Source organism: Homo sapiens, chromosome 16 (genome assembly GCF_000001405.40).
Source record: "Homo sapiens chromosome 16, GRCh38.p14 Primary Assembly".
NCBI classification, from domain to species: domain Eukaryota; kingdom Metazoa; phylum Chordata; class Mammalia; order Primates; family Hominidae; genus Homo; species Homo sapiens.
Genome location: NC_000016.10, coordinates 2587563 through 2603383, shown reverse-complemented (window position 1 = coordinate 2603383; position 15821 = coordinate 2587563). Strand labels below are relative to the sequence as shown.

Sequence of the window (15821 nt, the reverse complement as noted above, 5' to 3'; positions counted from 1 at the left end):
AGCCCTTGTAGAACACCCGCCGGTCACATGGCAGGCGGAAGTTCCATCCGGGAAAAGCAGCCGGCTGGTCCCACTTCCGGAGGGAGTGAAACCGAGCTTGGGGCGCCAACGCTAGCGGGCAATGGCAGACACCCGCCCCCAACCGCGCCCCCACTCCGTGGCGGGGTCAAAGGAAGAGCCACGCCAGCAAACCTCTACACTCTACATGCTTTTTATTACAAGACTACTGACCATACGAGGAAAATTCATCATCTGGTAACTACACCTAAAGCACAAGTATTTGGAAAAAAAAAAAGGATAAACAGATTCATTAAATTATATGATTAAATCACTGACCCAATAGAAAATTTATATAATAAAGCCAGAAAAAAAGTTGTAAAATATAGTTTACAATAATTATTCACATTCAAGGCTGTACATCAATACATACAACAACGTGGCCCCGAACATGAATTCAATTCAAATAATTCATATATTAGAATTTAAATAACACAGACTGAACTAGAGGCCAACAATAGCCAGCAAATAACCTTATATAAGAATAAAAATACAAAAGTGTATATCCTAGTATCATTGCATTTGTTTTCATAAGTTCTTTTAATTTTTGCTTTGTCTGTACATCACAGTTACAGCTACAGACCAGGTAGAGAATATTACGCATGTTCTGCTTGCCACCCACCTGAAAGACGTACTAGTCATTTATCCTATTTTATGTTGTGAAGGAACAGCTACAGCAGCTCTAAATACTGTAACAATTTAATTTTGCCAACATCCAACTTACTTACAGTCGTAATAGAGGCTTTTACCAGCACAATGACCCCTATTCGTAGTCATTCTGCCAGGTGGTTAGGCTATGTGGGTTACACAGCTTAAAAAAGGTCTGCCTTTTGTAAAAAGTTCTCTGTACATAGTTTGGTGTTTCTTCATATGGAAGAAATGAGTTACGGGGAAAATTCAGGTACACACGTAGGCTCGTTCAGTTGCTCACCACAGCCATCTCAACAGATGAAAGTGCTCTTTGTTGGAAACAGCTTCCTCCTCACACCAGTTCTCCACAGGCAGCCTCATCTACAACCCTGCAATTTTGGGCCAGAAGTGGTGGCCCCTCAGAGGCTCTGAAGTGCCTCCAGCCCCGATTCAGGCACTTGCCACGTGTGCTGCGTAAGAAGGGACCCCCACCCAGTGAGTCAACATAGGCTCATGTCAAGTTTGAAAATAACTGGGGAAAAGTGTATGACAACATCTTCCAGAACAAAGTACCTTCACCGTATTCTCACAGCAGCTGCGATCTCTGAAGTCTCAGCAGTGACCACCCCGGGTCTGTCAACCAGCCAGGCAAGGGGGGGCCCTCAGGCTTCAGAGGGCAAGAAACCAAATTCCGTGCAATTTGGCCATAATCTCTGGTAGAGTGAAGCAGCACTGAACACGGTGCCTAGAAAAACCTCCTGCACGTTCCCCTGCACAATCAATGGACCCCAACTACAGTGGAGAAATGAAGAATCCAACCAAATTTGGGTGGTCTGGACTTGCTGCCAGCCAGGCAATCTGCAACACTGTGGGCAGGGAGTTGGGGGGGGCGGCCTGAAATCTACACCAGCTGGGACAACCACGCCCTACAATGAAAAAGCCAGCCTGGCTGCTGGGCTCTTGTGAACCACTAAGACCTGAAGGTGGGGCCCCACGGGTGGAAGGGGGAGACAAATGCACTCTTGTAAAACCCAATCAGCTACGTGGTTTTTTTCAAAGAGGCTTTGCTCTGCTACTGATTCCAAATGTCCTAATATACCTTCTGAGTCTATAAACTTAATTACAAATCACTCACTAAGCATGTGGCAAGGTCAGTTCAACACTTGTTATCTCTGCTGACTGTGCAGATGCAAATTCAGTACCATTGTGGACACGAAGTACAAGATTCTGCCAAGCGCTTGAAAGCCACGGCAGCAGGGAGGGCAGAGAGCTGACATGCAGGCAGAGCCAGGTTCTTGCAACCAAAACAAGGAAATTGGCTCTTGGAAAAAATCGGCCACAGATGGATTGCAGTAGTGACATCCTCTTAGCATTTAAATAAAGAGCGGTCTTATTCAGACATTCTTTGGAACACATGGCTTATCAGAAACCGATTTGTTCAGAATCTGTAAGACACAACTAAGGTGGTTCTGCTACTGGAAGTGAGCGTCTACACATCAGGTCGAGAGAGAGACAGAAATATCTTCAAAATGAACAAACTCTTTCACCTCAAAATACCACTTCCAGGCATCTAAGGGGGAAAAAAGTAAGAAATCAGAAGATTTTAAAGATATTCATCACAGCATTATTTAAATAGTGGAAAAATCAGAAACCGTCTTAAGTATTTTACAGTAGGGAAATGGTCAGATAAATTATAGTAAATGGACAATGACTAAATAGTACAATTGTTAAAAACATGTTTCTGAGAAACTCATGACATGGGAAAATGCTTAAAATATCAAGGGAGAAGACGATGCAAACGGTGTGTGTCGGATGTTCCTATTTTAGTTTAAAAAGTGAACAAATGGCAGGGCAGGATATACGGCAAAATGCTCACAGTGGTCTTCTCTGGCCGGTGAGCCTACAGCTGATCTTGTCAGAGACAAACGTTAGTTTTACTGAGTCACCCAGAGCCCTGTGCTGGTGCCTGAGGGTTTGTTCCATGGGACAGTCTCCACAATTCCTCTGGGGAAGGGCCACAAATCCCACAGTGTGTCCCAAGAGGGCTGGAGTAGGCGGAGTCCCCAGCAGCTGTGGCATGACCAGCCATCTCTCTCAAAACAATTGTTAACAAGCCTTCTGCAAGTTAAGGTTCCACATGGTAGCCGTGGTACAGAGGCATTTCTCTAGGGTGGAGAGGCTTGTGCTCTACACCAGGACTGCCCACCGCCCTGGCTGGGGCCACACAAAGAGGGGAGAAAGGAATCCCTCAGAAGCCAGCCCCCAACTGTGTCCCAGAGAAAGGCGGGGCACCTGGGACACCTAGGCCGGCAGCGACCACAGCCTCCCTCCGCTTTGTGCCGAGAAGCCGCACAGTGTGGTCCCGACATTCCACCTGTCCTTGCCCATGTGTGGGGAGGCACATGGCCCCAAGTCTATTAAACAGCAGGTGAAATCTTCCTCATCTTGGATAAACCCACAACTGTAATTCCACGTAAGTGTGTCTATGTGCACACACAGTACCCCACGTTCTACCGTAGAATGTAAGGCGCCTGCGTGCCAGGTGATGGCTCTAAGGATGTGGTAGAGAAAACCGGAGTAGACATGAGCAAGCACAGGGTAAGGAAAGAAAACACACGGGCCTTTCAAAAGGGAAGAGCAAGGGGCTGGGTGAGGAGAAAGGTGACCCACAGAAGGGCTTGGCTGTCAGCTCAGGCAATGGCATCATTTTGGCTGGCGGCTGCCAGCTCTGGCTCTGAGCCCCTAGTTCTGTGGCTTTGGAGGTTAAGATGGAGCTTGTCAGTGACGCCCAGGAGGTGGTGGTTCTATCCAGAGGAAGAACGCACGGAAGAGTCTCCCCAAGCAGCCCAGCCGAGTGCTCCAATTAAAGCCACGTCCCTGCTCCACTTGTTTCCCTATAACCAGACGCCCTGAGAGATCTGAGAGAGCCACTCTCCTACATGGAGACACAGGACGTTCTGAGATGGGTAAAATAGCTGATGAGGAGGAGGAAGCCTGAACAGAAATTCCTGAAAGGGCTAAGAGAGACTCCCCAACACAGCCAAGCCTTTCCAAAAGCCAGGAGGAGGAGAGAGGACTCCGACTCCGGCCACAGGCCCAGGGCAACGTGCTGGGCCCCGGAGCGTCCTGCTCCCTGGGGCCCCAGGGTAGGTGCGGCCCAGCTCACCCCAGCTCACGGTCACAGGCTCACATGCAGCTCTCACACAGCAGCAGCCAAGGCCCAGGCAGGAACCACAGGCAGGGCCTGGGGAACATCTCTGCCCCCTCCCAGGCCCCGTCTGTACTCGCCTAGCTAAAAAGAGCCACTCTCGTCATTAGCAGTGTAAAAACGACACCTTCCCTCTCAGTTTGGATCTGGCCTGGCACACAGGGTCACTGCTGAGTCACCTGTGACTTGGGGGTAGGGACCAGGGAGGGTGGACACAGTTGAGTCAGAGGCAGGTCTGTGGGCAGCAATGTCTGCCTCTCCCCCAAAGGGAGTGAGGGCTGCCCTCCAGGGACAACCTGGGCAGGGAGAGAAGGGCCCAGACCTGCCAGGCCACCAGGAGCACTCTCTACCTGGGGAGTAGCTAGGCAAAGGACAAATGCATCTGGCCTGTCTGTGCTGCAGAGCGGGGCAAGGCCACCAAAGCATCAAAGGGAAATGGCCCCAAAACCGGCTCTCTCTAGAGGAAAGCCGACCAGCAAGCTGGGGTTGAAGTGTGCTGTTCTCGCCTCCTGTGCAACAGCAACTGGCAAAGCCCACTCTATGGGCCCAGATGAGCCGGCAGCATGAGAAGGCTGTGAGATTTCTGATGCACAGATGTAGAAGCTCTGAGGGGCTCTGAGAAACTTGAACCAAAACACAAAAGGGGCGTGTGTGACGGTGGTGTCTGCACTCCCTGGCGTGGTCTGCAGGAGACAGAAGCACCCTGGGTCTGCTGATGCCAGGGTTCTCTCAGACCCTACTTCAGCAACTGGAGAGGCGTGGACATTTAAACCTTTTAGGAGGCCCTCAGGCCTCTCTGCTCCACACGGAAGTCAGCAGCCCTCTCTGCTCTGGCTGGCTTCTCCAAGGCACCTCCTGGCCCCACCTAGGGCTCGGGGCAGGACTCTCTCGTGCAGTGAGCCAGCGGGGTACTAACTGGGCTCACTTCTGACAGTACCGCTCCCAGCATGCGCTCGGCTTCCAGCCCCAGAGACCAACACTGCTAAGTAGGATAAGGGATCCGGAGCCCTCGATGGCACCCTCCACTCGGCAGCCTGCTCCCGCACCACTCCAACCCCTCCCGCTCCTCACCACGCAAACCTGCCTGCCAACACAGCAGGGGCCACAGAAAGCTGCCACCAGAGCCACCACAGGGATATGTAATGGGCCCAGCCAGGCCTAAGGGCCCATCACAGGGAGACGCAAGAAAGGGAGCAGGTGACAGAAGCACGGCGGCTCCCTCCACAAAGCTGCGGCCCCCGCAGGGCTCCCTCCCTGGTGAAGAGTTCCAGGACCACAGCGGGAGGGGCATAAAGAGCCAAACACACCCGGTCCCCTCGGCCACAGCAGGACCAGCACACAGTTGGGGCAGGGCGGGCGCATGGTTCGGACTGATGCTAGGAAAAACTGGTGACACCAGGTCTGTCCACTAGTCTGGGCGGGACTGGGTTGACGTGCATGGAGCTGGGTCCCCACGGCAACGAGGGCACACGGAGGCCTCCACGGAGCACAGAGAGCAAGCAAAGCGACCCTGAATTCCTTTGTGTTTGTTACTGGTTTTGTTCTTTGTGTGGTTGGGTGTTTTTTTTCTTCTTTTCTTTTAAATAAAAATGCTGCAAGGTTTCCGCCTCTGCGTTCCCCTTGTGATGGCTGGCAGGTGGTCTGGAAGCGTCCCGGATGGCGGCCAAGCCGCGCTGGGGCAGGTGTCCTGGCAGCGAAGGGCAGCCCGGCCGCAGGCCACGTCACTGCACAGCGGCGTCCGGGTGGCTCTGGTATCGCTGCCTCCAAACCTCCTGGATCTTCCTGCACCACTTGTGTGCGTTCCCGCTGGGGTCCATCAGATAATACGTCCTGTTAGGCTGCGAAGACAGAAGCCGTTTAGTGTTCTCCAGGGAGTCCCACCAAAACCCCCACCCCAACCTGGTGAGCTGCCTGCGACCAGCCATTCCGAGTCCTGAAAGCACGTGGGTGTGACGGTTATTCACACAAGCAGTAAGCAACTACACAGGCTGATGACCACCACCCCCAGTCACCACCAAACTGAAAAACAAGCACAGGGTGTCCCCTGCCCCCTCAGGACTGAGCCACTAGTGTGGGCGTCTGGGATGTCGGAAAGGGCGAGGCAGCTGCCCCGATCCCCGCTGCTCCCTCTGGCCAAGGCCTGTGGCTGCTTCCCACGTGGTGCAAAGCCCTCCCATTACCCTGCACACAGAAATCCCTGGGAACAGACTCACCGTGTGGACAAAGAAAGTTTTAAAATTCTTGGCCTCTGGTCGAAGTTCTTGTGACCAAGGAATTTCACCTTTCAGAACTTTGTTGACAGGATCCACATAATATAAATGTGGTCCTTCTGTGAGCAACAGCTGTCGTCGTCTTGCAAATAAACCCTGACGCCAAAACACAAAACAACAGGCCTCAGAGGCCAGTGCTGACGGCATCTCCTGGAGCCTAGAGGGCTGGGCGGCCCCTCGGAGCTGCTCAGGACACAGGGCCACCACCACCACCTGTGCACTCACCCAGGGGCAGGGGACTTCCTGCCCCACCAGGCCCAGTTTCTAAGGTCACAGGGGATGCAGCACAGGCCTCTGCTGCTGAGATGGCGCAGACAGCCCATCCAGATCGGGCCCATGGCTCCCCTGGCCCCTCTGCTCTGCCTGGGACAGAAGCCTGCTCTCGGTAGCCGGCCTCCACCCACCTGCACCGAGATCCTTGCCTGCGGAGGACATACGGCCAGGAACAGAGGCCAGGAGCCTGCGCTTGGAAGTGGCCCCGTGAGCACCTGGAGCTGAATATTTTCTAACCAAGGGTTAAAGCTAACAGTTACTGGTTTGTGTTCTGTCTAATCATACTGAAATTCCTGATCTGACGTTCTACTGTAGAAGTAATATGATTTATATTTGAAAAAGGTACAAGATGACCAAATAAATACCTGAGCACATCCACACACTTGCCTGGCTCCATACAGACCACTTGCTAAGTGCTGGATCCATTTAATCCATAAAATAAAGAACAACCCGGCCGGGCGCCGTGGCTCACGCCTGTAATCCCAGCACTTTGGAAGGCTGAGACGGGTGGATCACGAGGTCAGGAGATCAAGACCATCCTGGCTAACACGGTGAAACCCCGTCTCTACTAAAAATACAAAAAAAGATTAGCCGGGCATGGTGGCGGGCGCCTGTGGTCCCAGCTACTCAGGAGGCTGAGGCAGGAGAATGGTGTGAACCTGGGAGGCGGAGCTTGCAGTGAGCCGAGATCGCGCCACTGCACTCTAGCCTGGGGGACAGAGCAAGACTCCATCTCAAAGAAAAAAATAAAGAACAACCCTTAAATGGTTTTGAAACACTTCTAAAGAAATATTAGACCACTGGCTAAGATATCACATGTGGCCTCTTCAACTTGACGGAAACCTCAAAACAGGCAGCCCCAGGCTCCCAGGAGTGTGGGCGGTTGCTTCTGCACTGCCCTAACCGCCTACGCGTGTGGCTCCACATGGCTTCTCTCAAGGGACTTAAGCCTTCCCGAGCTATGAAATCTAGAGATGATGTCTGATGAAAATCAAGAGATGGAAGGATTCCACGCCACCAAGCTGCCCTCCCCTAAGCTGGAGTCGGGGAAGATGCAGGTGTCCGTGCGGAGCAGCGGGACCACTGACCACTCACCTTCCGCTTATCCACTGGGCCCATCTTTAGTATTAAATTATTTTCTACAAACTGGTGCCTGTGGAAAGAAACAAGAAAGAGATGCTCCCATGACAATCACAAACAGAAATTCTCCACGCTCCTCCTGCCACACGAACTCCCCATAGCCTCGGCCTGCCCCTCACAGAGCCAGCCTCACTTTGGGATGAGCAGAGAACGTTCGCCACATGTAACCCAGCACATACAGCACTGCCACGCAGAGAGCCTTAATCCGTATTTGCAACGGAGCCTGCAGATACCAGACACAGTGCCTGTTGCCCCCTCACTGCCAGTGACATCCACACAGCGGGGAAAAGGTGGGGGAGGACCGTGCTGTAGAAACGGGCAGGTGACACAGGTCATTGCTGCCTTAACAAAGCTGTGGTGAGGCGCAGAACTGCCTCCCGAAAGGTGGCTGCCCGCGGAGTCAACAACTGGATGAGATGATCGCCCTCAAGTTACCCCACAAGCTGGGGCCCCTGATTCAGTGCTCAGGATCCACAGAGCCGTTTATAATCACAAAGCTCTGACAGACCCAAGTTGGACGTAAGAACATCTCCTCTGGTTTTTCCATCATAGTAAAACACTTTTATTCAGAGACGGCAGAAATTCAAAGAGCAAGATTCACATAGAGGCTTTAATTTAATATACATTATTAGCAAGCACACGTCACTTTTGATTCCTAAAAGTTCAAGAGATTTTTGTTTTTAGAGACAAAGTCTTGCTCCGTCACCCAGGCTGGAGAGCAGTGGCGCCACCATAGCTCACTGTAGCCTCAATCTCCTGCGCTCAAGCCATTTTCCCACCTCAGCCTCCCGAATAGCTGGGACCACTGGCATACACCACCATGCCCAGCTAATTTTTTTTGTATCTTTAGTAGAGACGGGGTTTCACCGTGTTAGCCAGGATGGTCTCGATCTCCTGACCTTGTGATCCACCCGCCTCGGCCTCCCAAAGTGCTGGGATTATAGGCGTGAGCCACTGTGCCCGCCAGGCTAATTTTTTTGTATTTTTAGTAGAGATGGGGTTTCACCCTGTTGGCCAGGCTGATCTCGAATTCCTGACCTCAAGTGATCCGCCTGCCTCGGCCTCCCAAAGGGCTGGGATTACAGGCATCAGATACCGCGCCCGGCCCCAAGATACTATTTTAATGTCTGCAGTTTACCTCATGTGGTTAAAGCTAACAGTTACTGGTTTGTGTTCTATCTGATCTTACGGAAATTCCTGATCTGAGGTTCTACTATAGAAATAATATGCAGTTTGTTTGTTTGTTTGGTTTTTTTGAGACAGAGTCTCGCTCTGTCGCCCAGGCTGGAGTGCAGTGGTGTGCCATCCTGGCTCACTGCAACCTCTGCCTCCCGGATTCAAGTGATTGATGCTCCTGCCTCAGCCTCCCAAGTAGCTGGGACTACAGGTGCGCACCACCACGCCCAGCTAATTTTTTGTATTTTTAGCAGAGATGGGGTTTCACTATGTTAGCCAGGATGGTCTCAATCTCCTGACCTTGTGATCCACCCACCTAGGCCTCCCAAAGTGCTGGGATTACAGGCATGAGCCACCACCCCCGGCCAATAATATGTTTTATATTTGAAGAAGGCATAAGATGATCAAATCAATATCTGAGCACATCCACACGCCTGCCTGGCTGCACACAGGGCCAACAGCACTTGTGAGAAGACCGGACTGGCCGAGTTGGGGGCACAGCATCTTCCCCCAGGGCTTACCCAGCCCCACCATCTGACCCACCCAGACCTGGGCAGATCAGTGCCCAGGCCTGCCCCAAGAGGGAGGACCCAGGGCCTGGCCTCACACACACATCCCATCCTGTGGGTCTGAAGCAAGAGGAGTGTGTGGCATGCGGGCAAGTGCAGCCCTCCTCTCGCACCAGGGACTTCGCCTGCAAACACACACAATGTGGGTATTAAAACAAAGAGAAACAGATCAAGGAGGTTCCTGAAAAGGACATGTGATGAGGAAGACCCACCACAGCACAGAAAGCATAGAGCACAGAAATGCCTGGAGGGACCACAGAGCCGGCAGGAAGCCACTCTGACAGACAGGCCTGTGACCAGGCAACAGCGCAGAGGAACAACAAAGGAAAATTCATCATAAATTACACCGGGGCAGGCAGCGTGGGAGGCACAGGGTCCCTTTGAGCCCAGGCCAGTCAGAGCTCTTGCAGGCAGATGAGGACGGAGAGGGCCCCACGGCCTCTCCCCATCCTCAGCTTTCACCACACGCCAGCAAGTGCCAGAAGAGGTGATGAGATGCATGGTTTAAAATACCAACTCGAAGGAGAGAAAAACCAGAAGAACACAGCAGCCCATCCCTGCAACCTGTGTGGGAGGGGCCGCCTTCCTGGCTGAGAGCGAGAACAGCAGCCCAGCACTGAGCTGTGGGAGCCACGGAAAGAGGACGAAACCACCTCCACCTAAAAAACCACCAGGACCACAGCTGGGGCGGGAAAGGACTTCCAGATACAGCCGCCATGGGCCATCAGCTGCACCCCACAGCAAATTCACAGTGCCACGAGAGGCTTGGAACCCAACAGAAAACTCAACAAAATGACACAAACTAAAAATTCCCAGAAGAGGAATTCAGTGACACAAGAAACTCTCAATGGCCCTAAATGAAGACATTGAGCTGGGCCGCTCCACCCTGATCATCTGGGCATGCCACAGGCACGGGCGTGCAGGAGTGGTGCTCCCGCTCGGCACCTGCAGCCTGGGGAGGACTCACTGAGGAAGCGATTCGGAAATAGTACTGAGAAGTAGCCTCGCTTCCAGAAATCCATCCTGAGAAAAAAAAAGGCCACAGGCAAGGAGCCCAGAGGCACTCCCAGCAGTGTCACCCATGCCAGGGACACTGAAGCCCCAGAGTGGCTCAGTGACAGAACACGCCAGCACCACGGGGAGGCAGGCAAGGGCCCCACGGACAGGCGCCACCCACCCCCGCGCCAGCATCCCCTGAGAGAGACAATGAAATGGACAATTCCACTCCCCGGTGGCCCAGGGTGCATGGACAGAGACTGCGGGCAAAGCTCCACTGGCGGCATCTAGAGCACAGCGTGTGTGCAGCGGATTCACCTGCCAGCTCACGACAGAAACAGCTCCTTGCTGTGAGCACTTCCAGGAATCACCTTGATTTTTTTTTTTTTTAAGACAGAGTCTCGCTCTGTTGCCCAGTCTGGAGGGCAATGGCACAATCTTGGCCCAGTGTAACCTCTGCCTCCTGGGTTCAAGCGATTCTCCTGTCTCAGCCTCCTGAGTAGCTGGGATTACAGGTACCCACCAGTAGGCCCAGCTAATTTTTGGTAATTTTAGTAGAGACAGGGTTTCACCATGTTGGCCAGGCTGCAATCACCTTGATTTTCTACTGTCTCCTGCAGAAAATCCCCTGCCCTGAGAGCCCTTTCCTCCCTGGGAGGCTGGGCAAGAGCTGAAGACCTGGAGACACACCTAACTACTCGCCATGCACACGGGACTTTCCCGAGGCACCTCACTCTCATACACCGCCATCTTGGCTCCCTCAAAACAGGCGACACCTCTCCCCACCTCTGCACAGAGGAGGATGCAGGGCAATCCACAAGGGGTGACCATAGAAAACCCCCTTTCCCGATGCCAAAGCGCAGGTTCTTGCCACCTCCTCCACCCTCCCTCACCCAGACCCCAAAAAGAGCATTGTCAAGGATCCAAGCCCAAAGCCACTGGCAAAGCACCTGCCACGCCCAGGAGAGCCCCAGCAAGGACCCAGAGCCCCGCTGGAGGCTTTTCCACCCCTCGGGAGGGCTCTGCAGGCTCAGCTTCACTGCCAGTAAGGGCGGGAGCCAGTGGCAATGGCGGACGGGCCCCAGGTTTCCTCTCCAACCTTCCAGTCCTATGGCCCCTCACACTCTTTACCTCTGTGGAAGACCCCAAAGAGCTTTCAGATCAACTGATATGTACTACGCAGGAAATTAAAACTGAGACATTTTCAAATGTTTAATTCATTAAAATACAATAAACCCATTACTATTAACATACATTACTTTTATTTTTAAAATAACTACTTTCCAAAACAAAAATAATGAATGAGGAGAGTGTGCCACTCTGTGCGCTGCACAGGCCTCTCCTGTTCGGCTGATAAGGAGAGTGCTGGGTCCCCGCATCCACCTGCGCCCATACTCTGCTGAGATCTGTGTTCAGGCGGAAGAACACGGCAAACACCCAGCCTCACTCAGATAAACAGCTAGAAAAGGGAGGAGTATACTCAGCCTTTTTAGAGACTGGAGTCACTTCCTGGCCTTTTGGCTAAGAATAAGTGTAGATGTTTGTGGATATTCTTCTTGGACACTACACTGCAGTTCAGAAGGTGGTGGCTGCTTAAAGCTCGGTTGCAATGTGAAATCTGACTCGTAACAATACATTTCCACACACCGTGACACTAAAAACCATCAATCTACCCTGCACTAGGGGCTCTTCTACCCTCATGTGATTTCATAGGGTCATACATGGGGGCTGAATGATGTAAAGCTTCCAAACGTTGACAAATTTCATTCTACGGTTTCCACAGATCAATTCATGGATATCACTATGTATCAAATGACTTTTGGCCTCTAATCCCAGCACTTTGGGAGGCCGAGGCAGGTGAATCACTTGAGGTCAGGAGTTTGAGACCAGCCTGACCAATATGGTGAAACCACGTCTCTACTATAAACACAAAACTCAGCCGGGTGTGGTGGTACACGCCTGTAATCCCAGCTCCTCGGGAGGCTGAGGCAGGAGAAATGCTTGAACCTGGGAGGCGGAGGTTGCAGTGAGCTGAGATTGTGCCACTGCACTCCAGCCTGGGCGACAGAATGAGACTCCGTTTCAAAAACAGAAAAAAAAAAAAAAAAAGACTTTTGGCCTGGTGCAGTAGCTCACGCCTGTAATCCCACCACTTTGGGAAGTCATAAGCGAGAGGAATGCTTCAGCCCAGCAGTTCGAGACCAGCCTGGGTAACATAGTGAGAGCTTGTCTCTTTCTTTTTAAAAAATAATATAAACAAACAAAAAAACATAGCTAAAAAAAGTCTTTTATTGGGAAGGTATCAGGCTCACAGTAATGAATAAAGTTTTCCAAAATTCCAATTTTCACTTGAAGGTTTCAATGTTATCACTGACATAAATACAGGCAGTTGTTTTCCTTAAAGTAACAAGCTCATTCCAATCATTTTCAAGAAAAATACTGGCCAAATAGCTAAGTCTGCATAACGGCGGTTTGCCCGTCAGCCAGACGCTCCGCGAGGACAGCAGGCCAACAGCCACAAGCGTGTCTCCCCTGAGATGGCTGCACACTCATGTTTGCGGCAGAATTGAGTGCCCTTCTGTATACTTCCCACTTCATCCCACAAAGTATTCACAACATTCAACATTTTTAACAAAGGCTCAGAAGCGAGACTGGTTTCTTTCCTCTCTCTCTTCCTGTGGGTGAGTGCTGTGAAGATATGACTATTGCCCTGGCACTGCTTGGTGCCATGGCCTCAAGTCATAGTGAAACCCTGTCTTCACTAAAAATACAAAAATGAGCCAGGCACGGTGGCACACACCTGGTAATCCCAGCTACTTGGGAGGCTGAGGCAGGAGAACTGCTTAAGCCCAGGAGGTAGAGGTTGCAGTGAACAGAGATCACTCCACTGCACTCCAGCCTGGGCGACAGAGGGAGACTCCGCCTCAAAAAAAAAAGAACATCATCCGTGATGAGAAGCCAGGGGACACAGGCCAAGCGACAGGTCCAGGCTGTCTGTAGACTCATCCACTGTGAGGCAAAAGCACAACTCAGCAGCAGACATGTCAACTCCCTCTTCGTGCCTGCAGTCGTATCTTGAATCCAGCAAGTTTCGACTGCATTGTGGACTGTGGCAGCACAGGATGACCAAGCCTGAGGCTGTGCTGCAGCCGGAGGCTTTGTCTCTCAGCTACCGTGTGGCCTCTCCAGCCTCTACAATGCAGCTTCTAAGAGCTTCAGTGACTCTTTAATTTATTGTCTGAAAAGCTGTTACAAACAACATTGGATTTTAAAGAGCTCATCACACATATTTTTGAAATGTTCCTTTTAAGTGTAAACTATTCCATGTAAATTTAAAAATTCCTTTTACCTTTTTTTTTTTTTTTTTTCCAATTTTGAGACAGGGTCTCACTCTGTCACCCAGGCTGGGGGGCAGTGGCAAGCTCTCTGCTCACTGCAGCTTCAACTTCCAAGGCTCAGGTAATCCTCCTACCTCAACCTCCCCAAGCAGCTAGGACTACAGGTGTGCAGCACCATGCCTGGTTGATTTTTGTATTTTTTGTAGAGACAGGGTTTCAGTTTCTTGCCCAGGCTGCTCTCGAATTCCTGGCTCAAGTGATCCACCCACCTTGGCCTCCAAAGTGCTGGGATTACAGGTGTGATCCTGAACTTAACTTACCGTATTCTCATGTAGGCACAAGGAAAACTTCAGGATTTCAAAATAATGATTCAGTGGATGATAAAATTACAGAGGCTATAGCAGGTATAAATGAAGAGATAGTAAGAGCTCAGTAGAAATATTGAATATTAATCTCAAAAAATGCATACATTGGCTGGCGCGGTGGCTCACACCTGAAATCCCAGCACTTTGAGAAGCCGAGGTGGGCAGATCACTCGAGGTCAGGAGTTCGAAACCAGACTGGCCAACATGGTGAAACCCCTTCTCTACTAAAAATACAAAAATTAGCTGGACGTGGTGGCATGTGCCTGTAATCCCAGCTACTCAGGAGGCTGAGACAGGAGAATCACTTTAACCCAGGAGGCGGAGGTTGTGTGAGCAGAGATCACGCCACTGCACTCCAGCCTGGGCGACAGAGCAAGACTCTCTCTCATTTAAAAAACAAAACATATTGATACCAAAAACCTATGACCTTAGAAAAGACCAAAAGCACGCAGATTCCATTCTACAGCATGTGACCACTGAAAAACTCACCATACACGCACAGAGAATGACAGCAAAAAGGCAAATAACATCTTAGTATTACAAAAAAAACTGCCCTGACCTCGGGGATTTGGTGGCCACACACTGAGAATGCAAACCACTACTGTAAAGAGCAGGTGCTGGACAGACCTCCCAGCAGCCAGACAGATCCTGCAAGATCTCAGGAGTCATCAGCTTCCCAAAAGGACCTAAAATCTGAAGGAAGTGGGAAGGGGAAAGAGAAACCTGAAGACAAAGGAAGCAGGCAGGAGAATGTGTATCCTGACTTGCCGCCATCACCAGGCTAAGGTACCCAGACGGACCCCAAGGCCCTCTAAGAACAGCCCCAGGCAGAGGGGCCTCTTCTGGGAGTCACCAAAGGAGCTGAAACACACACACACCTGCAGACAGCACCTCTCAGCTGGGATCTGCAGAGAGAGCGCTCCTGGCCAAGTACTTGGAGTGGCCACAGCAGCCCTTCGTGGGGACCCCAGCACACACGAGCCCGGGAAGCTCCTTGCATAGCCAGGCACACGCCTCCTTGCTGCTTGGAGCTGCGCAGCACAGCACGGCTCAGATTGCTCCCATCAAGAGCCCTCCTCTCCTGCTCAGTACACATTAACATCTCTAGCAATCACACTAGGTGTGATTCAGAGCCCCTAGCTGTAGACTGTTGCTGCCTGCCAGCATCTCTGCACAGGTTTTCTAGAGACAGGTGTGGCGAACCGCATAGAGCCGTGGTCTTCCCCACCTGCCGGGGCGGCCCAGAGCTCAGCTCCTTCCTCTCATTCCTCCCCACAAGTCTCTCAAGTCACATGTGTCCTGTCCCTGCCTAGCCAGGCCCTCAACTCCCCCTCGTCTTGTGCTTCCACTCCAGCATGCCTTCCTGCAAGGCCCTCTCCCCACCCCCTTGGGCTCCTCTCTGCCCACACAAAAGGGAAAAGCAGGTAAAAATATTAGGGGGGAAGCCCGTCTTACCAGATTAAAATGGAAAACATAAAATATAAATAGGGACAGGATGGACTTGGTAAGAATTTGCAGCTTCCATACAAAAACACAGTATCGAGACTGGAGAGAAACTGAAGAATGTTTGCAAAACATACAACAAGGAATAGTCTCCATACACGTGGCTTTTAAAAATCCATGTTAAAAAGAGGCACCAGCCTGGCCAACACAGGGAAAGCCTGTCTCTATCAAAAAATACAAAAATTAACCAGGTGTGGTGGCAGGTGCCTGTAATTCCGGCTACTTGAGAGGTTGAGGCAGGAGAATTGCTTGAACCCAGGAGGCAGAGGTTGCAGTGAGCTGAGATCGCGCCACTG

At 51.5% G+C, this 15821-nt stretch overlaps 1 protein-coding gene across 10 annotated transcripts in view; it reads right to left on the bottom strand.

The window, feature by feature from the left end:
• Positions 1-195: 195 nt before the first annotated feature.
• PDPK1 (3-phosphoinositide dependent protein kinase 1) overlaps positions 196-15821 on the bottom strand; it is a 65168-nt gene continuing 49542 nt past the window's right edge. For 9 of the 10 annotated variants that reach the window (XM_047434200.1, XM_024450296.2, NM_002613.5 and 6 more), the window contains 3 exons: positions 7534-7591; positions 6109-6261; positions 196-5733 (listed from right to left, as the gene is read on the bottom strand). In XM_047434200.1, the coding sequence (XP_047290156.1) occupies positions 5617-5733; positions 6109-6261; positions 7534-7591 (328 nt within the window). In that variant the 3' untranslated portion in view covers positions 196-5616. The remainder of the gene's footprint in view (positions 5734-6108; positions 6262-7533; positions 7592-15821) is intronic. The other variant, NM_001261816.2, reaches the window with a different exon arrangement.